General features: G+C 44.0%; 1 protein-coding gene and 1 non-coding gene across 9 annotated transcripts in view, besides 2 other annotated features; one reads left to right on the forward strand and one right to left on the reverse strand.

Moving 5' to 3' along the window:
- ZZEF1 (zinc finger ZZ-type and EF-hand domain containing 1) overlaps positions 1-27,051 on the reverse strand; it is a 138,586-nt gene that overhangs the window by 105,671 nt on the left and 5,864 nt on the right. For all 8 annotated transcript variants that reach the window (XR_007065288.1, NM_015113.4, XM_005256561.3 and 5 more), the window contains exons 2-5: positions 13,792-13,936; positions 6,857-7,051; positions 4,184-4,355; positions 2,494-2,693 (exon numbers count right to left, since the gene is read on the reverse strand). Coding sequence is in view for 7 of the 8 variants with exons in the window: in NM_015113.4 (NP_055928.3) it covers positions 2,494-2,693; positions 4,184-4,355; positions 6,857-7,051; positions 13,792-13,936 (712 nt within the window). In the remaining variant the exon portion in view is untranslated. The remainder of the gene's footprint in view (positions 1-2,493; positions 2,694-4,183; positions 4,356-6,856; positions 7,052-13,791; positions 13,937-27,051) is intronic.
- LOC124904128 (small nucleolar RNA U13) lies at positions 4,493-4,595 on the forward strand. Its single transcript, XR_007066005.1, has one exon. It is a non-coding gene; the product is annotated as a small nucleolar RNA U13 (small nucleolar RNA).
- Positions 16,463-16,552: an enhancer, noted in NCBI's record as "active region_11533". NCBI's record gives its function as "activates an Ori minimal core promoter by ATAC-STARR-seq in GM12878 lymphoblastoid cells {active_cell/tissue: GM12878}" and the evidence as "EXISTENCE:reporter gene assay evidence [ECO:0000049][PMID:35858748]".
- Positions 16,953-17,002: an enhancer, noted in NCBI's record as "active region_11534". NCBI's record gives its function as "activates an Ori minimal core promoter by ATAC-STARR-seq in GM12878 lymphoblastoid cells {active_cell/tissue: GM12878}" and the evidence as "EXISTENCE:reporter gene assay evidence [ECO:0000049][PMID:35858748]".

Here is a 27,051-nt window from a genome sequence, read left to right on the forward strand (position 1 = left end):
CTTAGGAACTTAGGAGTCTTGAAAAAACTACACAAAGAACATTTTAAAACAAGCCTGTCTGAATACATGGTAAGAACATTTCTAGAATTCTTCCTAGGATTCTGAAATTTGGATTAAGTTATAGAACAGTGGCTGGCTTACAAGCAATTGTGAGAATTTATTTTTAATAATCAAATCCAAACAGATGACACAGACATGACTCACTTTTAAGAGATGTCACAATTTCTTATTTGGGTCAGAGGAGAGAAGGTAAGAATTTAAAAAGGACACAACTTAGAGAAAAGATCACAATATAAGACAGGAAGCTTCTAACCCACAGGCCTAACTACTTATTTGCTAGGGGTGAGACACAAAGACTCTACCTCCCTAGGCCTCAGTTCCTTTGAGCAAAGAACACTTCTTTTGGCCCAGGAAAGCATTAGAAGAAATGAGATAAAACATGAAGCATTCCGGCTCCCTGAACGAAATAAGCCCAGAAAGCAATCACAGAATTGTGATTATTTCCAAAATGCTATGTTTAAAGCAAGGTTATAATGGTATAAAATTGGAAACAATCTAAATGTCCAAGAATGAGGGGTGGGTTAAAATTACGGCTTTTTTTTTTTTTTTTTTTGAGATGGAGTCTTGCTCTGTTCACCCAGGCTGGAGGAGTGCAGTGGCACAATCTCAGCTCACTGCAACCTCCGCCTCCTGGGTTCAAGTGATTCTCCTGCCTCAGCCTCCCAAGTAGCTGGGATTACAGGCATGCGCCACCACGCCCGGCTAATTTTTGTATTTGGTAGAGACGGAGTTTCACCATGTTGGCCAGGCTGGTCTAGAACTCCTGACCTCAAGTGACCTGCATGCCTCAGCCTCCCAAAGTGCTGGGATTGGAGGTGTGAGCCACTGCACCCAGCCAATTACGGCATATTTTTACAACACTAAATAAGGATATTCGTGAATATAACACACTCTAAAAAATTACAAAAGAACATGCAAAGAATATCAACATTTTTGTAAAAAGATATGTATAGATTTATGTGAACAGATACATACAGCTCTATTTTTTAGGAAAAAAGGTGTGTAGATATGTGTGCATATATGTGTGTGTATGTAAACCATACACACACTTACACACACAAATACACACACACACGGAAAGGTCTGCAAGGATCCACATCAAGGCAATCATAGTAACAATCCCTGGGTAGTAGGATTTGAGTATTTTTGTTTATATTTTTCTAATTTTCCAATATGAAAATGTGAATAAAATTATTTTTAATGGGCCAGTGCAGTGACTCATGCCTGTAATCCCAGCACTGTGGAAGGCCGAGGCGGGCGGATCATGAGGTCAGTAGTTCGAGACCAGTCTGTCCAACATAGTGAAACCCCGTCTCTACTAAAAATACAGAAAATTAGGTGGGTATGGTGGTGTGCGCCTGTAATCGCAGCTACTCGGGAGACTAAGGCAGGAGAATTGCGTGAACCCCGGAGGTGGAGGTTGCAGTGAGCTGAGACTGCACCACTGCACTCCAGCCCAGGCGACAATGCGAGGCTCTGTCTCAAAAAAAAAATATATAGAAAAAACATATATATTACACATATAAGCATACACAATATATAAATATGTATAAACATATATAAAAACATATTTTATATATATGTTTATATATATATATATATTTATAATCCCAACGTTTTGGGAGGCCAAGGTAGGAGCATAAAGGCCAGGAGTTTGAGATCAACCTGGGCAACACAGTGAGGCCCCATTTCTACAAAAAAGTGTAAAGAAATTAGCCAGGCATCGCGGTGCATGTCTACATTCCAGCTACTGAGACTGAGGCAGGAAGACTGCTTGAACCCAGGAGTCTGAGGTTACAGTGAGCTATGACTGTACCACTGCACTCCAGCCTGGGTGACAAAAAGAGATCCTGTCTAAATATATATATATATATATATATATATATATATATATATATATATATATATATATATATATGTTTTGTTTTGTTTTTAATGAAAAAAATGATTTCACTGTTCTTCTATAATTTCCTTCTTTTTTTTGGTTTGAGATGGAGTCTTGCTCTGTCACCCAGGCTGGAGTGCAGTGGTGTGATCTCAGCTCACTGCAGCCATAGCTTCCTGGGTTCAAGTGATTCTTCTGCCTTAGCCCCCCAAGTGGCTGGGATTACAGGTACCCACCCCCACGCCTGGATAATTTTTGTATTTTTAGTAGAGACAGGGTTTCACCATGTTGGCCAGGCTGTTTTCGAACTCCTGATCTCAAGTGATTCACCTGCCTTGGCCTCCCAAAGTGCTGGGATTACAGGCGTGAGCCAGCATGCCCCGACGCTTTTCTATAATTTCTACAACACTTAATGAATGAAATAATGAACACTTTTGTGTACGTCCTAAGAAGCAAACCGAATCTCAAAAACTAACAGCCTCTTCACTTCAAAGTAAAAAATACTACTCCCTTGCTTTTCCCTATCCCCTCAGTTCTGTTGGACTTACAGAGCTGACTGACGTTGGCATTTTCCAGCAGCGTCACATAGCCAGTGACATTGCTGGGGATGTGCACATCTCGGACTTCCTGAAGATCGCTGGCATTCCTCCCTACAGCTACTGTCACCTGCTGTGGCATGTAGCTCTGGTCAGTGGCAGCCACTGCAATGGACAGGTGCCTAAGCACAACATCTGGCTTCATTTTTAAACTGGAAAACACAAAAAGCAGAAATTACAAATGTTTATAGGAGTCAAGAACTGACAGGATCCAGAAGTCCCACCTCAAAGAGCTTACATTTGATATATCCAAAGACTGGTTTTCCTAACAGCAACTAACTTGAAATGCTGGCTATGAGTTTCAAAGTCCTTCTGACCTTGACCTTCCCACATTTTTTAAAGACCTTTCAGTTCAAGATTAATCTTACGATTCCTTTTAAGCTATTTGTACAGAAAGAACGAACAGTATGAACATTCTAACAAAATCCCTTTACCTGGCAAAAAAGCTAATTTTAAACTGCATACAAAAAAACTGAGTATACTCTCTCATCTATAAATTAGATGTCTAAAGGTCAAATGTGTCCTCTAAGAGAAAACAATATAATTATTTCTGGCACTTAATTCTACCAATTGGAATTAGCCTGTTTTCTGAGGGGAGAGGTGAAAATTTCAATAGCAGCTTCAGAGCTTCCAGAAATACCACTGTTTATTATCATTAGCTCCACTCCAGGATTCTTGACCACACTATTTCTTCTTCTAAAGTGACCAACTCAGTTACATACAGTGAATTTCAAAAATGTATATAGAAAGAGGCCAGGCACGGTGGCTCACGCCTGTAATCCCAGCACTTTGAGAAGTTGGGAGCTTGAGACCAGCCTGCCAACATGGTGAAACCCTGTCTCTACTAAAAATACAAAAATTAGCTGAGTGTGGTGGTGGGCAGCTTTAATCCCAGCCACCCAGGAGGCTGAGGCAGGAGAATCGCTTGAGCCTTGGAGATGGAGGTTGCAGTGAACAGAGATCATGCCACTGCACTCCAGCCTGGGCGTCAGAGCAAGGCTCCATCTCAAAAAAAAAAAAAGAAGTATAGAAAGGGACCGGGTGCAGTGGCTCACACCTATAAACCCAACACTTTGGGAGGCCAAGATAGGAGGATTAAGGCTAGGAGTTTGAGACAAGCCTGGGCAACGTAGTGAGGCCCCATTTCTACAAAAAAGTATAAAGAAATTAGCCAGGTATGGTGGTGCCTGCCTAAATCCCAGCGACTGAGACTGAGGCAGGAGGACTGCTTGAACCCAGGAGTCTGAGGTTACAGTGAGCTATGGCTGCACCACTGCACTCCAGCCTGGGAGACAAAAATAAGATCCTGTCTTAAAAAGAAAAAAAAAAGTAGAGAAAGGATATTTCAAAATACAGTCACATGTAAGTACTTATTCTTTGTGGTATTAATTTTCCTGAGAAACTAGTGAAAAAAGATATGAAATCAGTACTAATCTAAAATTAATCAAATGTTATTTCCTCCTTTAAAATATCAGGGAAATTATCTGTTAGGAATATATAAGCCAGGTTACATGATTTTACATGATTCATTTTACTTGATTCTTAAAGCATCTTCATAGCCACTTAAAATACAAAGAGTAGGCAGTTAAGAAGAAAACAATCCAAAATTTTAAAAAACAAAAAAGTATTATATACCACCCACCGAATCCAGTGTGAACAGGCACTGCCATCTGACTGCCAGTAGGATGAGGTTTCTCCATTTGTCATCTTGTCAATGTCTGCCGAGTTGGAGGATGTTTCTATATAAGCATAGCACTTTGCTACTGACTTGAGTTTATCCATCTCTGGACTTCTAGTTAGATCTCCAGGGCTTTCTGTAGGGGAAACCAGAGTTGATTATATGACATCCCTTTCACAAAGGGAAAAAAAAGAGTCATTTAAAATATCTAACAGAAATACGCTTGGTACTCTGGCCCTAGAAACACAAATCTTCCTTAAAATCTCCTTCCAGATCCTTTTGTAGTTCATCAGTGTCATGAGTGGGTTTTCACGCACATGTGTCAAATATGCCTCCCTCAAACTGTTACGTCATTGGCATATTACCTGACGTGAAGATCATATGTCACCTTCCAAAGAACCCAGTGGCCAAGGATTACCCCATCGTCTCTATCAGTGCAATTCTTTAATCACTGATATATTTGCAAAACCATGCCGAGAAGAAAATGGTAAATTACGGTTTGAATTTACATTTTTTAAATAATGAGTGACACTTTTTAAGCTGCTGGCTTCTGAGTACAGTCTGGTCCTGCCCTCTTCCATGTTCTTCTGAGTTAATTCATACATTTTCTATACATGATCAAATGTATATATAAACATACATAGAATAGCTAACATTTACTTGAGTGTTTACTATAACCCACGTGCTTTTTTTTGTTGAGATTTTTTTGAGAGGGTCTCACTCTGTTCCCAGGCTGGAGTGCAGTGGTGTGATCACAGCTCACCGCAGCCTCGATCTCCTAGGCTCAAGTGATCCTCCTGCCTCATTCTCCCAAGTAGCCGGGACTACAGGTGTGCACCACCACGCCTGGCTAATTTTTTTAAAAATTTTTTGGAGAGATGGGGTCATCCCTGTGTTGCCCAGGCTGGTGTCAAACTCCTGGCTTCAAGCGATCTTCCCACTTTGGCCTCCCAAAGTACTGGGATTATAGGCATCAACCACCGTGCCTGGCCATGTGCTTTTTATACTTTCCTTATGTATTAATTCATTTTAAAAATTAAGAAACTGGCCAGACTCAGTGGCTCACACCTGTAATCCCAGCACTTTAGGAGGCCAAGGCAGGCGGATCACTTGAGGTCAGGAGGTCGAGACCAGCCTGGCCAACATGGTGAAACCCCATCTCTACTAAAAATACAAAAACCAGCCAGGCACGGTGGCACGTGCCTGTAATCCCAGTTACTCAGGAGGCTAAAGCACAAGAATTGCTTAAACCTGGGAGGTGAAGGTTTCGGTGAGCCGGGATCACACCACTGCACACCAGCCTGGGAGACAGAGTAAGACTCCGTCGCAAATAAATAAATAAAATAAAATAAATAAACTAAGGAACACAGAGTTAAATAATTGCCCAAGGGCAGAGTTACTAAAAAATTTAGTCAATTGTATCTGTAATATGTTATAAAATTTATTTTTGTACCCACAATGTCACTTGTTTTTGACTCTGCTTATATTTTTTTTTGCTGTGAGCAAGGTTAATTTTCATACAGACTAATTTATTAATCTTTTCTTTCATAGATTCTGGGTTTCATGCCTTGCTTAGAAAGGCTGTTCCGTATTTTACAAGGTGGAACTATTTTCTTCCAATATTTTTAGCATTTTATTTTTAGTTGAACTTTTTGATCATCTGAAATTTATTTTAGTGAATGGAATGTATTAAGAATCTAGTTTCAGCTGGGTGGTGGCTCACACCTGTAATCCCAGCAATTTGGGAAGCCAAGGTGGGTGGATCATCTGAGGTCAGGAGTTTAAGACCAGTCTGACCAACACGGTGAAACCTGTCTCTACTAAAAATACAGAAATTAGCCGGGCGTGGTGGCACATGCCTGTAATCCCAGCTACTCAGGAGGCTGAGGTAGGAGAATCGCTCGAACCCAGGAGGTGGAGGCTGCAGAGATCACGCCATTGCACTTCAGCCTGGGCAACAAGAACGAAACTCAGTCTCCAAAAAAACATCTAAGTTTTATTTTTTCTTCAAATGGCTAACTAGGTGCCCTAACTCCATCTGTTGGAAGTTCACCTTTCCATCCTGATTTATAACACTGACTTTATCTGGTACTATGTTCTCACATGTATATCGGCGTCTATGCCTGGGCTCTGTTATGTTCCACAGACCTATTTATACACATCATGAACTTCTGTTGCCATCTCCAAGTGAGTCTGTGGTGGCTTCCTTCATTTATCCAGCAAATACTCATTGAATACCTACCATGCAACAGGCACAGTGCAGGAATGAGGAAGCAGACAAGACAGACAACACACAAGTGAATCAATAATGCTACAACTTCAGATAACAATAAGCGCGATTTCCACCATTAAACCTGCAAAGGTGACCCTGACCAGAAGGTGGGGTAGGGGAGGTGTTAATTAGATAAAGCGGAAAGGCATCCCTCAAAGTCACATCTGAGCAGAGAATTGAATGATGAGAAACCAGCTGTGTTAAGAAGAAAGGGAATGAGGAGAAAGATCACATTCTTACGTTACAAACTCATGACTCTGTATTTTCAGAAATGAAGGCAGGGAAAAGAATTGGCTCATTTTACCAACACAACAGTTAGAAGAAATGATCAGAGTATTTTCAGGAGAACCCCCACACACACATACCCTTTTCCTTTTGTACCAGCTGATCCAGAGACTCCTTCAGGACGGAAGACCGCATGGTGCACATGTTATTGCAGTGCTCCAGCATCGGGTAGGGCATCACCGCGCTGGAGAGCCGATTGCGGTGCAGGAAGCGCAGTATCATTGACGAGTGAATATCAAGGCCCTCCTTCGACTCTGAAAATATGTCTGTGAAACCTAAACAGATGAAATCCATTTTTGGTGTTTTGGGGAAGCCACAGTAGTTTCCACATCCCCTGCCTGGTGGCCTATCTGAATTGGCTAAATTAAAAGCAGTCATTAACAATCTTCATTGATATTTTCAGTTTTAATTGTTAAAAAATCTAAGTTTTAAAGAAATGAACCAGTAGCATTCTGAACTTAAGAATTAATTTAGCTGGGTGCAGTGGCTCACGCCTGTAATCCCAGCACTTTGGGAGGCCGAGGCGGACGGATGACCTGAGGTCAAGAGTTCGATATCAGCCTGGCCAACATGGTGAAACCCCATCTCTACTAAAAATACAAAAAAGTTAGCTGGGGGTGGTGGCAGGCGCCTGTAATCCCAGCTACTTGGGAGGCTGAGACAGGAGAATCGCTTGAACTCAGGGGGCGGAGGTTGCAGTGAGCCCAGATCACGCCACTGCACTCCAGCCTGGGCAACAACAGTGAAACTCCACCTCAAAAAAAAAAAAAAAAAAAAGAATTAATTTAATTTTAGTTGAAAAATATTTTAGAAGACTTAGAATAACGATTTTTTGTTTCAATCCAATCTTCAAAAATGTATAAGCACTTAAACACTAATAGACGTTTTTAAGGAAGTCTTGCGTATAGAATACAGGGTAGAAATAAAGTTCAGTGCATTAAGAGTAAAATCATAACTGCTTTTATACTAAGATACTAAGACAATGATAATGACAATACAACCACTGCCATTACCACAGTTTCCAACGGCATTTTACAACCAATAAGGTGCTTCCACATACATCATATCATTCCATCCTCACAGTAAGGTGAGGGGAGGCACAGAAGGTACAGCTATCCTTTTTAACAACTGAGGAAAATGAGGCTCAGGTGACACACCAAGATGTCAACTGGTAATAGGGAACCCCCCATGAGGCCATCGGTACAGGCTGGGAGAGAGAAGGCAGGGTGACGGGTGGGAACCATGGGCATTTGAGTCACTTCCTCATGTAATTTACTTGTGCCTTCAGGACCTGCTCAAGCCCAATCACATATATACCACTTTCATTCGATGATGGAATGCTGCTGTGCACACCCAACTTTAGGCTGGATGGGTCAGAAAGCACCCAGTTCATGACAGGCAGTTCAGGTCACACGGTAAATTGCTGACCCATAGTCCAATGTTCAGTTTCTACCAAGGCCCGGAGCTGTCTCTCAAAAGAAGAGTAGTTATCTGCAAAAGATAGTAGGGCCTTGCTCCAAAATCTTAAAGGCCTCTGCTGTGATTCACCTATGGGGGTCTGCCAAAGGCTCCAAACAGCATCCCTGTCTGCCACTGACACCTCAAGCACCATCAGATCTGCTGAGTCATATGACCCAAGCGGCAGAGCAGCTTGCACAGCAGCCTGGACCTGTTTCAGAGCTACCTTCTGTCCTGGACCCCTCTCAAAACTGGCAGCCTTTCGGGTCACTGGATAAATGGGCCAGAGCAACACACCCAAATGAGGAATGCACTGCCTCCAAAATCCAAGTTGGTCCACTAGGTGATGTACCTCTTTCTTGGTTGTAGGAGGGGCGAAATACAGCAACTTATCCTTTATCTTAGAAAGAATATCTTCACAGCCCCACATCACTGAACCCCTAAAAATTTCACTGAGGTAGAAGGTACCTGAATTTATTTCAGACTTATTTCCCACCCCCTGGCACACAAACGTCTCACCAATAAGTCCAGTGTGTTTGCTACTTCTCACTCACTGAGTCCAATCTGCACAATGTCATCAGTGTCATGTACCAGTGTGATATCTTGTGGAAGGGAAAGTGATCAAGATCTCTGCAAACAATATTATGACGTGAAGCTGAAGAGTTGATGTACCTGAGGTAAGACAGTGAGGGTATATTGCTGGCCTTGTCAGCTGAAGGCAAATTGCTTCTGGTGGGCCTTATGGACAGGAATGGAGAAAAGGGCATTTGCCAAATCAATGGCTGCATACCAAGTATCAGGAGATGTGTTAATTTGCTCAAGCAATGAAACCACATCTGGTACAGCAGCTACAATCGGAGTCACCACTTGGTTAAGCTTACGATAATCCACTGACATCCTCCAATATTCATCCGTCTTCTGCACCGGCCAAATATGAGAGTTGAATGGGAACATGGTGGGAATCACCACCTTTGCATCTTTCAAGTTCTTGATGGTGGCACCAATGTCTGCAATCCCTCCAGGAGTGCGATATTGTTTCTGATTTACTATTTTTCTAGGTAGAGCCAGCTCTGATGGCTTCCATTTGGCCTTTCCCACCGGAACAGCTCTCACCCTACTGGTCAGGAAGCCAACATGGGGATTCTGCCAGATGCTAAGTATGTCTATTCCAGTTATCCACTGCGTCCCGTTCTTTCCCAATCAATGCCCTCATTTTAAAAGTAGACACCTGCTGAGACTGAGCATGCACCTTTCATTGGAGGTCAGCCACTCACATGACATGAGCTTGTGTCTGATTTTCCACAATTTCAGCCCTTTGTCTAAAGGAGGTAAGACTCTCACCCAGGGCAATCTTGGAAGATGTGAGGCTAAGTAAGCATTTCTGGAGACAGAATCCCTGAGCTCATCCTCTTCTTTCATCACTTTGTCCAGCAAACTTAGGAGCACCAACCAACTTCATTATAGTCCTTGGTTCTCCATATATGGCCAAAGGTATCATGTATAGAGTCACTAAACTCCTTGATTCTCAAGAGAGGTGAATCGGGAATATCAAGTGCATTTATTCTGCACAACTCTCTTAACAGTTCACACCAAGGACTAACAGCATTCTCCATACTATTAGAGGTAGACTCCTTAGCATTTTTGGGTCTAATCAAATTAAACAGCCAACTCCCAAAACTACAAAACCAACTAAAGGAATCCATCCTTAAAATTCTGTTCCTCAAAGACCAGGCGCAGTAGCTCATGCCTGTAATCCCAGCACTTTTGGGAGGCCAAGGCGGGCAGATCACGAGGTCAGGAGTTCCAAGAGCAGCCTGGCCAACATGATGAAACCCCATCTCCACTAAAAATACAAAAATTATCTGGGCGCGGTGGCGGGTGCCTGTAATTCCAGCTACTCGGGAGGCTGAGGCAGGAGAATTGCTTGAATCCGGGAGGCAGAAGTTGCAGCGAGCCGAGACTGCGCCACTGCACTCCACCATGGGTGACAGAGCAAGATTCCGTCTCAGAAAAAAAAAAAAAATGTTCCTTTAGAACCCCTTCTGGTATCAAAATCTGTATGAGTCAGTGTTCTCCAGAGGGACAGAAATAATAGGATATATGTATATATAAAAGGGAGTTTATTAAGGAGAATTGGCTCACACAATCACAAGGCAAAGTCCCATGACAGGCCGTCTGAAAGCTGGGGAAGAAAGAAGCCAGGAGTGGCTCAGTCTTTTTCTTAGCTGACTCCACAGTAATACCTGAGCTTCATATTTAGGATACTGCTGATGCTGCACTGTTTTGCTCAAAACCTATGTGAGAAAACAGATTTGGCACAGTGGCTCATGCCTGTAATCCCCACATTTCAGGAGGCCAAGGTAGGTGGAATGCCCGAGCTCAGGAGTTCAAGACCAGACTGGGCAACATGGCAAAACGTTGTATCTATGTTAAAAACAAAACAAAAACTTGTTCCTATGATGGAAAAAGTGTTTTCATATGCTGAAACATTTGGTAAATTAATTTAGCCTTCAGTAAATGAATTCCAAGCCTAATGAATTTGGAAAAGGTACTGTTCTCTTTTCTTAAACGCTTAAGCACCAACACCATGAGATACAAAAGGAACTAGTTTTAGTGCAGACGAAGGTTAGAAACTAAAAATTCCCACCACCAAAGCAACTTCAGCTTACAAAGGTTCATTCCAAGACTGATGAATTGGGTGCTGATGAAAAGTTTTGAGTAGGAAGTCCTAAGTCATGAGCCTGCTATGTAAGTGCCTTGAGATTTGGACCCTGATGCTTTCTCAATCTCATCCCCCATTTCAGCAGTTGCCCAGCACAACAGTACACTACGAATTATCTGTTGGTGGATTCCCTGGTCTCAATCCCTCTGCTTTCCTCCCCAAAACTGTCTGAGGTGTCCAAATAAAGCTCCTGATGCTATCCACATGCTGGTAATGCAAAAGTGGAGTAGTATGTAAACGCTAAGATAAAAGCTAGCTAAAGATAATTCAGGCCGGGTGCAGTGGCTCACGCCTGTAATCCCAACACTTTGGGAGGCCAAGACAGGTGGATCACTTGAGGTCAGGAGTTCAAGACCAGCCTCTGGCCAATATGGTGAAACCCCATCTCTACTAAAAACATAAAAATTAGCCGGACGTGGTGGCAGTTGCCTGTGCTCCCAGCTACTCGGGAGGCTGAGGCACAACAATCACTTGAACCCAGGAGGTGGAGGCTGCAGTGAATGGAGATCCCACTGCACTCCAGCCTGGGTGACAGAGCAAGACTCTGTCTCAAAAGAAAAATAATAATAATTTTAATTGCCATGAGACTAGGGAAAAAGTTAACATGTATAACATTACATAATTAAAGACAACCTGAAGGAGAATGGAGATACACATTTTTTTTTTTTTTGAGACAGGGTCTCGCTCTATCACAGGGATGGAGTACAGTGGCGTGATCACGGCTCACTGCAGCCTCAACCTCCTGGTCTCAAGCAATCCTCCTGCCTCAGTATCCCGAGTAGCTGGGACCAATGGTGCACACAACCATGACCTGCTAATTTTTTTCGTAAGAGATGGGGTCTCACTATGCTGCCCTGGCTGGTCTCAACTCGTGGCCTCAAGCAATCCTTCCACTTCGGCTTCCCAAAGTGCTGAGATTACAGGCATGAGCCACCATGTCTGGCTGGAAATATACATTCTTCATTAATGTATGGAAACTATCCTTCCCTAGCTCAATACGTCACTCAGCAGTGAGTAAGCTAGAGGGTCAAGAGCAATCAGATTTACATTTATGTGTCTATCAAATCTATTTTGCCTCCATTGCTGCCCTAGTGACCCTAAGTATTATGACACCAAGTGCACAGAGCAGGAAAAACGCTGAGGTAAAGTAAACCAAGACCGAAAGGAAAATGTACAAAGTTTCTTTCTCTTTCAAACACAATTGTCTTCTCACTAGAAAAAACAAATGTTAATTTTATTATGATTCTGTCTTTACGTGTAAGTCTGAGCTCCCCCCCAAAAAAATACAAAAACACAGGCCATGTCTTTTCTTTTTTTTTTTTTCCAGACGGAGTTTCGCTCTTGTTGCCCAGGCTGGAGTGCAATGGTGCGATCTCAGCTCACTGCAACCACCACCTCCCAGGGTTCAAGTGATTCTCCTGCCTTAGCCTCCCGAATAGCTGGGATTACAGGCATGCACCAACATGCCCAGCTAATTTTTGTATTTTTAGTAGAGACGGAGTTTCTCCATGTTGGTCAGGCTGGTTTTGAACTCCCGACCTCAGGTCGGGAACTCCGCCTACCTCGGCCTCCCCAAGTGCTGGGATTACAGGCGTGAGCCACTGTGCCCCGCCGGCATTGCTTAATTTTAAGCTATTTTTATTCTTACTTAAATTTCTGAATATAGTAGTCCTCCCTTATCCACAATTTCAGTTACCTGTGGTCAATAAAGACGCCAAAATAGGTGAGTATGGTACAGATACTGTGAGACAGAAAGAGAAAGAAAGAGGAGCCACATTCACCTAATTTTTATTTTACTATATTGTTATAATCATTCTATTTTATTGTCAGCTATTGTTATTGACCTCTTCCTTTTTTTTTTTTTTGGAGATGGAGTCTCGCTTTGTTGCCCTGGCTGGAGAGCAGTGGTGCGATCTCGGCTCACTGCAAGCTCCGCCTCCCAGGTTAACGCCATTCTCCTGCCTCAGCCTCCCGAGTAGCTGGGACTACGGGCACCCGCCACCATGCCCGGATAATTTTTTTGTATTTTCAGTAGAGACGGGGTTTCACTGTGTTAGCCAGAATGATCTCGATCTCCTGACCTCGTGATCCGCCCGCCTCGGCCTCCCAAAGTGCTGGGATTACAGGCGTAAGCCACCGCGCCCGGCCTGACCTCTTCTTATTATGCCTAATTTATACATTAGAATTTATCATAACCATATATATATATATATATATATATATATATATATATATATATCAGAAAAATATATAGTATATATAGGGTTGGGTACTATCCTTGGTTTCAGGCACCCACTGGGGGTGCTGGAACATCTCCCGCATGGGTAAGGAGGGAATACTGTAATAGCTTTCTTAAAAAACCACTAAGTGCTTACCACATGCCAAAAAAAATGACGCAAATGTGAGGACAGAGCAGAAATAAGACAGAAGGTCCCTGCCCTCGTGGAACTATAGTACATGAGTGAAGACAAACACTTTACTAATAATTGAATAATGAATTGATCAATTACAATGGTAATATGTTGCAAAAAAGAATGCAGGATGCTAAGAGAATGAACAGTGAAGGCCAAGGAGGGCTTCTGTAGTGAAATGAAGAGATCCAATAAGGAAAGCGGCCACGTGACAAGGGTTCATGTTATAAAACGGTAGAACTGCTTAGCCACCACCGTACTGGGGATGAAAGAGATGACTAAAGGAAATGCTAATTCAGATCGGGAGCCTAATGAACACTGTTGGGGGAGTTTACTGCATGTGGCCACAATTTTGCCTAATTTCAATCAGTAGTATAGCAAAGTTCACTTTGGTTCTAAGACAGCACCTAGATGGAAGCCTCACCTGGAACCAGAGAGCAGGCCTGTAGTTGTCTGATGATGTGGCTCAGCTCCCCCTGAAGATTAGCTCCACTGGAATTCTTGAGGGCCTCCAACATGTTCTCGGCATCAACTGTCCCATCACCCTCAGCATCAAACTGGGCAAAGGCCTACAAGATAAGAGATGCAAGAAAATCAGGGCTGTTTCAAGTAAACGAGGGCAGTTTCAAGTTTCTTTTATTTAAAATTCTCGAGACCGGTGATTTATTTATTTTTGGTTGCAGAGAGAAGAGTCCATATGTATCAACCAAAGATAAATTTAGAACAGGAACTCACTGCGCTTTGTAGGATGTATGTATGCAAGTACACATCTTATTTGTATTCCAATCTATATTCCAAGAGAGTAACCATTAAGTAATCCAAGAGAGTAATTATGTAGTAAGTCTCCTCCCCACTAAATAATTTCAGAAGGAAGCAGCCACTGTAAAGTTTTTCAACTGGTTGCAAAGTGCCAGAATATAAAGAATTGGCTTAGAATAGCACCTCGACTTTAGCTGGGCTTTTTCTTTTCCCTTTTTGAGACACAGTTTCTTTCTTGTCGCCCAGGCCGGAGTGCAGTGGTGCGACCTCAGGTCAGTGCAACCTCCGCCTCCCGGGTTCAAGTGATTCTCCTGCCTCAGCCTCCTGAGTAGCTGGGACTACAGGCGCCTGCCACAACGCCAAGCTGATTTTTTTTTTTTTTTTTTTTGTATTTTCAGTAGAGATGGGGTTTCTCCATGTTGGCCAGGCTGGTCTCAAACTCCTGACCTCAGGTGATCCGCCCACCTCAGCCTCCCAAAGTGCTGGGATTACAGGTGTGGGCCACCGCGTCTGCCTGGGCTTTTTCAACACTCTTTGGACACAAGAGCTAACTTGGTTTATCTGTTTCACAGCCCTGTTTTCACTAACCTTTAATTGTAATCTAGCTTGTCTCTTGCCCATGTTGGGCCATCTGGGGAACCTGGGACAGTAGAGATTTGGTTTAAATCTGCTCTATCACTACTCTGCTATGTGACCTTACCTAAGTTTCTTTACCTCCATAAGCCACAGCTTCTTGATCTGAAAGATGCAGCGAATATTGTCAACCTCACAGGCTGCTGCCTGGATTAAGTAACATTTGAACAGAGCCCAGTACAGTGAAAAGCACATCGGCCCTGTAGTGTTCCCCTTCTCCTTTCTAACCTCACCCTCTGGTGTCCCTGACCCCCTTCCCTTACATCCTACAAGACTTACCTCACTTAGCAACTGCCCTCTCTCCCCAGATTTCAAACCCTTCCTCAACAATGCCTTCTGCCCTCCTGCTGATACACTCACTCACACATCGCTCTCACCATGCAATACTTCAGGAGTCTTTAAGCCTCCTTTCCAAGTAACCCTCTCTCTTTCTTAAAACTCCTGCCCCTTGTTCTTATTTCTCTCCTCCATGAAATAGGAAAACAACCTACTGAGGTTTCATGACTAACATAAATACCCCTATTTCCATCATAGACCTCTGAACAATGCAGTGTTTAAGAGGAACAAATGCAAATTCCTGTATTTGAGTCCAAAAACCATGGGCATAAATGCAGTAATGGGGACAGTCAGCTTAGAAGCAGCATGGAAAAGATCACAGCATTCTTTTTGCCTCTGTTCAACCTGGCAAGATTATCCAAAAAGTTAATAGGATCAAAGACTTCACTAATCAAGGTATAACATTCAAAAGGAGAGCAGGTATTATCTTTTTCTACTCTGACTAGACCCAATCAAGAAAGGTGAGTTTGGTTTTGAAGCTACACACCAAAAAGAAATGAATGGAAGAGATCAGAGGACAGAAACCATGACAGAAAGAAGACTAGAAACTGTGCCCTGTTGGGGGAATCTTAAGTGCAGAGAAAAGAGGCCTGGGAGTCACACAGTCCTGATGAGCTATAATGGGAAGGAGGGAAGCAGCAGTTAAAATTAATGTCATTGGATAGAAGACAGAGGGAAATGCTCATGATAAAAGTGGACCTGTCTGTTGTCATGGGCATAAAGATGGGTTAGGAGGCCGGGCGCGGTGGTTCACACCTGTAATCCCAGCACTTTGGGAGGCCGAGGTGGGTGAATCATGAGGTCAGGAGTTCAAGACCAGCCTGGCAAAGATGGTGAAACCCCGTCTCTACTAAAAATACAAAAAATTAGCCAGGCATGGTGGCAGGCACCTGTAATCCCAGCTACTTGGGAGGCTGAGGCAGAGAATTGCTTGAACCCAGGAGGCAGAGGCTGCAGTGCGCTGAGATCACACACTGCACTCCAGCCTGGGTGACAGAGAGCAAGACTCCGTCTCAAAAAAAAAAAAAAAAAAAAGAGTTAGGAGGCTCTGGGAAAAAATGCCTACACCCTATCCCTCAAGGCTTCAGAGCAGCGTCTGGACAACCAGTCATCGGGAGTACTCATAGTTCAAAAAAGTCATACTAAACAAACGCATTTACCTCTGTTCCCTCCCAAAACCCACTAAGACAATATTATCAAGAGATCTGGGGTGTGTGTGTTTTAAGCACACAGACAAAGAATACAAGATGCAACAGCTACAAAATTTTGGAAGCTTGGAAACAGATGGATAAGTAGTACCTGGTTGGTTGATCCAAGAAGGTGGAATTCTAATCTGGGTAGGCAAGGCTGAGAAGGAAGCTGTCCCATGCTGCAGGCCCAAAAAGACTTAGGGGCTGGTAATAACAGGTGCTGTGGAAAGTGGATGTAAGTGGTAAAAAGCCTATTTTAAAAAGCAGAACTGGGCCAGGTGTGCTGGCTCATGTCTATAATTCCAGCACCTTGGGAGGCCAAAGTGCCTCCCAAAAGGGTGGATCACTTCAGGCCAGGAGTTCAAGACCAGCCTGGCCAAGCCAGCAAAACTCCGTATCTACTAAAACTACAAAACATTAGCTGGGCATCATGGCACACACCTGTAATTCCAGCTACTCCAGAGGCTGAGGCACGAGAATCACTTGAACCCAGGAGGTGGAGGTTGCAGTGAGCCAAAATTATAACACTGCACTCCAGCCTGGGTGCTAGAGCGAGAGTCTGTCTCAACAACAAACACAAAACAAAACAAAAAGCAGAACTGACTGGATTTTTTTTTTTTTTTTGAGAAAACAATCTTGCTCTGTCACCAAGGTTGGAGTGCAGTAGTGCGATCAGCTCACTGTAACCTCAAACTCCTGGGCTCAAGAGATGCTCCTGCCTCAGCCTCCCAAGTAGCTGGGACTACAGGCGTTTCACACCTGGCTGATCCTTTAATTTTTCTGTAGAGAGGGGGTCTCACACTTTGCTGCCTAGGCTGGTCTCAAACTTCTGCCTTCAAGAGATTTTCCCACCTCGGCCTCCCAAAGAGTTGAGATTATAGGCAAGTTACGATGCCCAGCTCTAAATGATCTTAAGGAGAAACTGGACTTTGTGTTTTGCTTTGAGGAGAAAAGGGCGACAGCAGTGTTGCATGTGTTTTTTAAAGTGTTATTTTGTAGAGATACATAATGAAATATTTATGGATGAAATGATATGATGTCAAGATTCACTTCAAAATAATATGGATAGGGGAAGGAAAAAGCAGGGGGCGGTTTAGAACAAATTAAATTGGCCTTAAGCTGGTAATTGTTGAAACTAGCTAATTCTACTCTTATTTCTACTTTCTTATGTTTAAAACTTTCCTATTAAAAAAAAAGCCAGATCCCCCTTCCCAATCTTGGCAGAAATCTGGGGGTGTATTCTCTCGAGAGCAGTATGGCGTGTGGACTAGAAAATACCAGGCACAACTGAAAGTGAGAATACCACACTGAGAATAGGGACACTGATGTTTACTTGCTCAATGTGTAAGACTCAATCTTCCCCCAGGTTTCCCAGAATGCTGGCAGCTAGCCCCATAGCCTCATACCCTTCAGGCAAATGACTGGAAAAGTATTCTCTGGGGAACCTGGTAAACTCAGGGAACGCACCTATAGCCGCCAACACTGGGGATCTCCCAACGAAAGGGCCAGCCAGTTCATCTCGCTGTGAGTCCACCAGTTGACAAGCCAGACACAAAGAGCAACCAGCTTTTTAGTCCCCCATTCCTTAATGAGTGGACAGCCCAGGCCACCGGGACATTTGAGTAAAGCCTTAACATAAAACTCAGAAAAAGCAACTAGGAGAGGCCAGATGCGGTGGCTCACGTCTGCAATCCCAGCACTTCGGGAGGCTGAGGCCAGCAGATCACTTGAGGCCAGGAATTTGAGACCAGCCTGCCCAACATGGTGAAACCCCGTCTCTACTAAAAATACAAAAAAATTAGCTGGGTGTGGTGGCGCGTGCATGTAATCCCAGCTACTCAGGAGGCTGCAGCACAAGAATCGCTTGAAGCCAGGAGGCAGAGGTTGCAGTGAGCTGAGATGGCGCCACCGCACTCCAGCCTGGGTGACAGAGCCAGACTGTCTTAAAAAAAAAAAAAAAAAAAAAAAAGACAACTAGGAGAAAAGACAGACAATGCAGGGAAAATAGAACTTCAAAAGGATGATTAATATCTTCAGAGAAATATTTTTCTAAAGTTGTTTTTTTTTTTTTAAATTTGACACAGAGTTTAGTTCTGTCACCCCAGCTGGAGTGCAGTTGCGTGATCTAGGCTCACTGCAACCTCTGCCTCCCAGGTTCAAGTGATTCTCCTGCCTCAGCCTCCCGAGTAGCTGGGACCACAGGCATGCACCACCACACCTGGCTAATTTTTTGCACTTTTTGGTTGAGATGGAGTTTCACCATGTTGGCCAGGCTGGTCCTGAACTGCTGGCTTCAAGTGATCTGCCTGCCTCGGCCTCCCAAAGTGCTGGGATTAAAGGCGTGAGCTACTGCGCCTGGCCAAAATCATTTTTTTTTTTTTTTTTTTTTGAGACGGAGTCTTGCTCTGTCGCCCAGACTGGAGTGCAGTGGTGGGATCTCGGCTTACTGCAACCTCCGCCTCCCGAGTTCAAGCTATTCTTCCTCAGCCTCCCGAGTAGCTGGGATTACAAGCATGCGCCACCACGCCCAGCTAATTTTTGCGTTTTTAGTAGAGATGGGGTTTCACCATGTTGGCCAGGATGGTCTTGATCTCTTGACCTTGTGATCTGCCCACCTCGGCCTCCCAAAGTGCTGGGATTACAGGTGTGAGCCACCGCACCCGGCCCAAAAAACATTTTTAATACCAACTTTACTAAGGTATGTAATTCACACACTATAAAGTTCCTCCTTTTAAAGTGTATAATTCAGTAGGTCTTAGAATACTCAGAGTTGTGCAACCACCATTCTCTTATAATAAACAGATATTGCAATCATGAAAGAACAGGATAACTATTAACTAAAAACAGGATATTGAGAAAATGTTTAAAAGCTCTTGAAGGGAGTATAAATTAGTTCGATCACTGTGGAAAGCAATGTGGCGATTCCTCAAAAAGCTAAAAACAGAACTACCATTTGACCCAGCAATCCCATTACTGGGTATATACCCAGAGGAAGAAATATCATTCCACCATAAAGACACATACACACAAATGTTCACTGCAGCACTATTCACCATAGCAAAGACACGCAATCAACCTAAATGCCCATCAATGACAGACTGGATGAAGAAAATGTGTAGTCCTTCAACATAAATAAGGTAAAAAGAAAAAAAAGAGGGCTGGGCACGGTGGCTGACACCTGTAATCCCAGCACTTTGGGAGGCCGAGGCGGATGGATCACAAGGTCAGGAGTTCCAGACCAGCCTGTCCAATATGGTGAAACCCCATCTCTACTAAAAATACAAAAATGAGCCAGGTGTGGTGGTAGGCACCTATAGTCCCAGCTACTCGGGAGGCTGAGGCAGGAGAATCACTTGAACCCAGGAGGTGGAGAAAAAGAAAAGAATAAAAAAGAAAATATGGTACATATACACCATGGAATACTATGCAGCCATAAAAAGAACAAGATCATGTCTTTTGTGGGAACATGGATGGAGCTGGAGGCCACTATCCTTAGCAAACTAAGGCAGGAACAGAAAACCAAATACTGCATGTTCTCACTTACAAGTGGGAGCTAAATGATGAGAACTCGAGAACACAAAGAAGAAACAACGGACCCTGGGGCCTACCTAAGGTGGGAGGGTGAGAGGAGGGAGAGGACCAGAAAAAATAACTATTGGGTGCTGGGCTTAGTTGTAATGTGTACAACCAACCCCCATGAGATGAGTTTACCTCTATAACAAAACTGCACATGTACCCCAGAACCTAAAAAGTTAAAAAATAAAAATATGAGGTTGGGCACGGTGGCTCATGCCTATAATCCCAGCACTTTGGGAAGCTGAGGCAGGCAGATCACCTGAGGTCAGGAGTTTGAAACTAGCCTGGCCAACATGCGAAACCACATCTCTACTAAAAATACAAAAATTAGCCGGGCGTGGTGGTGGGTACCTGTAGTCCCAGCTACTAGGGAGGCTGAGGCAGGAGAATCGCTTGAACCCAGGAGGTGGAGCTTGCAGTGAGCTGAGATCTCACCCTTGCACTCCAGCTTGGGTGACAGAGTAAGACTCTGTCTCAAAAGTAAAAATAAATAAATAAAAATAAAAAGCTCTTGAAAATGAAAATATCACAACAAAACAAAAATCTCAAAGGAAAGGTTGGAAGGTGAAGAGACCGAAGTGCCCATGAAGTAGAGCCAACAGACAAAACTAAGGAAACCGGGAGAGAAAAGCCAGGAAAGTCAGCGGGCCAGTTCAAGGAAACCGGGAGAGAAAAGTGAAGGGAAATCCGGGGACCAGTTCAAGACGTCCCACATCCAAACAAGAGTTTAAGAAAGATGGAATGCAGAAAACGTAGGGGAGGAAATCACTATCATTACGATTCAAGATCATTTCCCCAAACTGAAGGACATGAGTTCCGTGACTGCAGGGGCTGATTACCCTGCACACAGGATAAAAGTGCATCACAGTGAAATTTTTTAAGACTGAGGAAAAAGGGAAGTCCTACTTCCAGGGAGAAGAAACAGTTTCTATGTCAAAGGTCAAGAATCCGAATGGGACTCGATCAGCAGTCACATGGAAGCCAGAAGGCAATGAAAGTAGTGACTGCCACATTCTGGGGCGTGCCTTTTCTAACCCGGAAGTCATTACTCAGCCCAAATCCCATCAACTGTGAGAGAGCAGAAGAAAATCATTCTTACACATGCAAGGTTCTCAAAAGATGAACTACTCAATCCTCCCTTTTTCAGAAAGCTACTAGAGGATGCAGCCACCAGAACGAAGAAATATGCCAAGACAGGAGAAGAATGGGATCCAAGCAGGAGAAAATGAATCCCCAGGATGACGGAGCTTCTCAGATGACACCCGCACAGCCGACCTAGAGAATAACAAATCTAGATTAAAGCAGATCAGAAGGATTCAGGAAATACTTCCTTGAGAAGATGAAGTTGATAGAATGCCAATGTGTTTAAACATATTGAACGTTTCTGTTAGAGGAGATTTAGACAACTGGCAGAGAATCTGGGACTAAATTAATGATAAAAGACTGAAAATTAGGAAAATTAAAGTATGTATTCAATTGTTAACTCCAAAGAAAATAAAAAGATGTATAAGAAAAAAAAAGGCCAGACGCAGTGGCTCATGCCTGTAATCCCAGCACTTTGGGAGGCTAAGGTGGGTGGATTGCATGAGTCCAGGAGTTCAAGACCAGTGTGAGCGATGTGGCAAAACCTCCTCTCTACAAAAATATACAAAAATTTGCCAGGCGTGGTGGTATGCACCTGTAATCCCAGCTAGTCGAGAGGCTGAGGTGGGAGGATCACTTGAGCCTAGGGGGTCGAGGTGCAGTGAGCCAAGATTGCACCACTGTACTCCAGCCTGGGTGACAGAGCAAGACCCTGTCTCAAAAAAAAAGAAAAACAAAAACATGGTACTATATGGCACAGCAATGTAAAGAACTTACATAATCATAATAAGGTAAAGGTCAAAGGGTGATCTAAACAAAATGGACAGAATTGTAGCGGGAGGACAGGGGACGTGCATGCATGGGCAACGATGGGAAGGTAAAAGACAACTCAAGTCTCATCACTGATGGTGGAAATAAAATAGATAAAGCCTAAAACTGAAAACAATCACAAAGAACATAAACATATTACTTGGTAATACAGCGTTAAACACTCAAGAACCAGCTAGAGTTGAAAAGTAATTGTTCTTGGGGAATGAGACATTGGGACAGGACAGCAGGAAAGCATTGTTTCTTGTTCAAGTCCTGTCGGCTATATACCGTGTGCATGTACAACTGATAAAAATAAAAGCCTAAATTTTCTCTTTTTTTTTTTTTTTTTGAGACACCAGGCTGGAGTGCAGTGGTGCAATCATGGTTCACTTCAACCTCGGCCTCCAGAGTTCAAGTGATTCCCATGCCTCAGCCTCCGAAGTAGCTGGGATTAAAGGCATGCGCCACCATACGTGGCTAATTTTTGTATTTTTCCTAGAGCTGGGGTTTCACCATGTTGGCCAGGCTAGTCTCAAACTCCTGGCCTCAAGTGATCCACCTGCCTCCGCCTGTAATCCCAGCACTTTGGGAGGTCAAGGTGGGCGGTTCACGAGGTCAGGGCATCAAGACCATCCTGGCTAACACGGTGAAACCCCGTCTCTACTAAAAATACAAAAAATTAGCCGGGCTTGGTGGCAGGCGCCTGTAATCCCAGCACTTTGGGAGGCCAAAGTGGGTGGATCACAAAGTCGGGAGATCGAGACCATCCTGGCTAACACGGTGAAACCCCATCTCTACTAAAAATACAAAAAATTAGCCGGGTGTGGTGGCGGGCGCCTGTAATCCCAGCACTTTGGGAGGCCGAGGCGGGTGGATCACGAAGTCAGGAGATCAAGACCATCCTGGCTAACACGATGAAACCCCGTCTCTACTAAAAATACAAAAAATTAGCCGGGTGTGGTGGCGGGCGCCTGTAGTCCCAGCTACTCGGGAGACTGAGGCAGGAGAATGGCATGAACCTGGGAGGTGGAGCTTGCAGTGAGCTGAGATCACGCCACTGCAGTCCAGCCTGGGCGACAGAGCGAGACTCCATCTCAAAAAAAAAAGTGGAGCAGGTGGGGGAAGAAGGAGGTGGCACAGAGCAGAGCCTCATCTTCCCTGAGGCCCTGCGGTGGGAACGCTACACTACCAGATAATAGCTACTTCCCAAATTGTTCACATTATAGCATACTGAGAAAATAATGATATTTGTAAGACTCAAGGTCTGAGGAGATTAGCACAGCTATCATTCATTCAGTTGGGAACGACACACAGACTTGGAAACTATGAATCAATATTTGGGCACTCGTTAAATGCCAGGCACCGAGCAGAGCATTTTATATACTATAATGTCATTTATTCCTCATAACAGTAACAGTACTATTAACCTCCCCGTCTTATAGTTGTACAGAGAGGTCAGGTACCTTGCCTGAGGTCACACAGCTAGTGTTTGCATCCAAGGCTTCAGGGTTCATGTTCTTCACCACAACTCCCTTCCCCTTCCTTTGACCAGATAACCCCTCGGGTTCCTTACCATCTGAAGACCAAATGCTTAAAACCTCTTAGCTCCATTACTTTCCTCCATCTATAAAAGCTGCTTTCCGCTCCTTTTGTCCAGGTGAACTCCTATCAACTCTAGAAGTGAGACTCACTCCCTCTGAATCTCAAGGTAGCACTCAAGTCCCACTTCCACCAAAACTTCCACAAATCAAGCACTCCCTGCACCTCCAACTTCCCACACAACTCCTGCTGTGTATTGCTAATAAAAATTCTATATAACCAAGGCTATAAAAATACTGACATTTTTGCTATCTTTTTTTTTTTTCTTTTTGAGACAGGGTCTTCATCTACCACCCAGGCTAGAGTGCAGTAGCGTGATCACAGCTCACTGCAGCCTTGACCTCCTAGGTTCAAGCGGTCCTCCCACCTCAGCCTCCTGAGTGGCTGGGACATGCTCAGCTAGTTTTTTATTTTTTTGTAGAAACAAAGTCTCACTATGTTACCCAGACTGGTCTCAAACTCCTGGGGTCAAGCAATCCTCCTGCCTTGGCCTCCCAGACTGCTGGATTTATCGGCATAAGCCACTGTGCCAGGCCATTTTTGCTATTTTTAATAGATTCTATTGATTCATCAATAGTTAATGAATATGATAAAAGGGATTTTCGAATAAAACAAAAACAAATAATTTTGGCTAAGAAAAAAATTACCACAGCTTTGTGAACAGCTTCACCAAATAATTATGTAATTTCCTAACACTCAAAAACTGACTGTCTTAAGAAAAGAAATGTTCAGGTTTGCTACCCAGGAGGCTGAGGTGGGAGGACCGCTTGAACCTAGGAGGTCAAGGCTGCAGTGAGCTGTGATCACACTACTGCACTCTAGCCTGGGTGGTAGATGAAGACCCTGTCTCAAAAAGAAAAAATATATATATATTTATATATATTTATATATATATATTTATATAATATATAATTATTATATAAATACCTGATCCTGTGTTTGGCTCTGTGGATACAAAGATGAATAGGGCACACAGTCCTTTCCCTTCAAAAACCTCACAGCCTAGAAGACAGATCTGTAAACCAACAGCAGCAATGTAATAGGTGTGACAATTACGATACGAGAACTAAGAGTATAAACTATTTACAACAGCCAATGTTAGTGAGCACCAGGCAGAGTTCTAAGCCCTTCACATGGATCAACTTATATTTTCCACAACAACTCTAAAGGTAGGTACTACCTTTTTGCTGGTGACGAACAGAGAGGTTATTTTTTTTAAGGCATATGGTTAGTACACGATGGAGCTTGAATTTGAATCCTGGACTGATTCCAGATGCCACAATTAACCACTATACCATGGGCCAACAGACACTCCAGGGATGAGAAGTCCGAGACAGGGAGGGGCGTTAGGGGAAATGGCCCAGAAAAAAACAACCCTTAAACTGTGCTTTAATGGGTAACTAGGAGTTTGAAAGTATATGGCGAGGGAGAGGCAATCTCAGGTAGAGGAGACAGACTGTCAGCATACATAAAGACTGTATGGCAGATAGTGAGAACTATGACCTGCCTGGTGTGGCTGGAAAGGAACAGGGCAGGTGATGAAGACAGGGCTAGAGGTCAGAATAAAAAGAGCCTGGCAGACCCAGGATGAAGAGCTCAGATATTACAGTAAGGGCACCATGGGGCCACTGGAGACTATTAAGGGTGGAGGGCGCTGATCACCCCAGATCTGCATAAGCTCTCTTATGTGTGGGACCTACAAATCTCTTAAAATATGTGCCTTTGTGCCAGATGCGTTGGCTTACGCCTGTAATCCCAGCACTTCGGGAGCCCAAGGCAGTAGGATTGCTTGAGCCCAGGAGCTCAAGACCAGCCTGGGTAACATGATGAAACCCCATCTCTACTAAAAACAAAAAAATTAGCCTGGCGTAGTGAGGGGCACCTGTAGTCCCAGCTACTCAGGAGGCTGAGGCAGGAGAATTCCTTGAACCTGGGAGGCAAAGGTTGCAGTGAGCTGAAATCACCACTGCACTGCAGCCTGGGCAACAGAGCAAGACTCCATCTTAAAAAAAAAAAGGTGCCTCTGTACAGCCTGAATCCATTCTCCAGTGTCTCTGAGAGCGCTCAGCCACTTTCTGTTACACACATCAGTGATGCTTCCCAGCTCATCTCCTCTGGACAGTTCTGACAGCAGTAACTCTCTTCCTCTAGTGAACTGAAAACCTGCCTCCCCAAAGTTACCATCCCTGGGGCCATTCAGAACACATCTACTCCTTCTGCCCAGAGACAACCTGCAGATCACTGATAACAGCGATCAGGTCCTCGGAGTTCCTGCCAAACCCTTCTCCATTCTTTCCACCAGCTCTCCATTTGCTATGGTCTCAGTCTCATTCCCATCCTGATTGTCACCTTTGGGATCCCTCTAGTTTGTCAATAAACCTCAGAACAAGTGCTTCTCAACTTTTATTGGCTGATCCAGTAAAATACATTTTGCATCATGACCTAGCATACACATAATTGGTATCAAAGTTCCAAGAAACAATGCAATACTTTTTCTCATCAGTTACAATGTACTCTGATATTTTCTCTTTTTTTTTTTTTTTTTGAGACGGTGTCTCGCTGTTGCCAGGCTGGAGTGCAGTGGTGCGATCTCGGCTCACTGCAACCTGTCGCCCAGGTTCAAGCGATTCTCCTGCCTCAGCCTCCCGAGTAGCTGGAACTACAGGCGCGCTTCACCACACTCAGCTAACATGGTGAAACCCCCGTCTCTACTAAAAATACAGAAATTAGCCAGACATGGGGGCAGGTGCCTGTAATCCCAGCTAATCGGGAGGCTGAGGCAGGAGAATCGCTTAAAACTGGGAGGTGGAGGTTGCAGTGAGCCGGTATTGTGCCACTGCATTCCAGCCTGGGCGACAGAGTGAGACTCCGTCTCAAAAAAAAAAAAACAAAGACATTACAGAGGCTAGAATAAACATCTTGAACTACAACCATAGAAAACAGTAACACTGCCAATTACAACACTTATTGAGCACTGAGCAGGTGAGCTGGTTTTATGGGTGAGGCGACTGAGACACTGTGGTCAAGTAGGTTGACCAAAGTCAGCTGGCTTGAGAATGGTGGAACTAGAACTTGCTCACAAGCAGGCTGGCTCGAGGCCCAGTTCCCAAGCTCAGTCTGAAGAACAGCAGAATGAGCAGACTCATAACACGGCAAACCCGCTGATGCCATTACAGGCTAATTACACACCCGTCCAGGTTGCTATGAAAGGGGTCCCTTTTCGGGGGCAGAGAGGGGGCAGCTTGCAGGCAATGAGTACCAAGGTCCCAGCTGGTTCAGACTGTAGGCTAGGTGCTAAAGGATCATTCCCAAAACGTGCCATGCCCTCTCACTCCAGTATATCTGCATATGCTGTGCCTTTCATACGGCAAATCCCTTCCTTCCTTTGCCAGGCGAATTCTTCCAGCCTCTCAAGCCTTGTTGTGATGAAGCCTTTCTCAAACTCCATGCTGCTGGTAACTGCTTCTCTGTGGTCCCTGAAACTGGAGTGGGCTTAGGATGGAGCAGGGAGCAGACAGGAGGAGAAGGAGAGCAAAGGACAAAATTCCCACATACATGGGAAACGGGACCATAAAGTGGCTGCTTAAAGAGCACTGGGAGACAAGGGTAGAAGGTATAAGAGTGTAAAGGCTGCTCCACCATTCAGATGTGATTCTGAAGGCAATGGGGAGCCACTGAAGTTTCTAAAGCAAGGCAGT

This window comes from Homo sapiens, chromosome 17, assembly GCF_000001405.40.
Source record: "Homo sapiens chromosome 17, GRCh38.p14 Primary Assembly".
In the NCBI taxonomy this organism is placed as follows: Eukaryota; Metazoa; Chordata; class Mammalia; order Primates; family Hominidae; genus Homo; species Homo sapiens.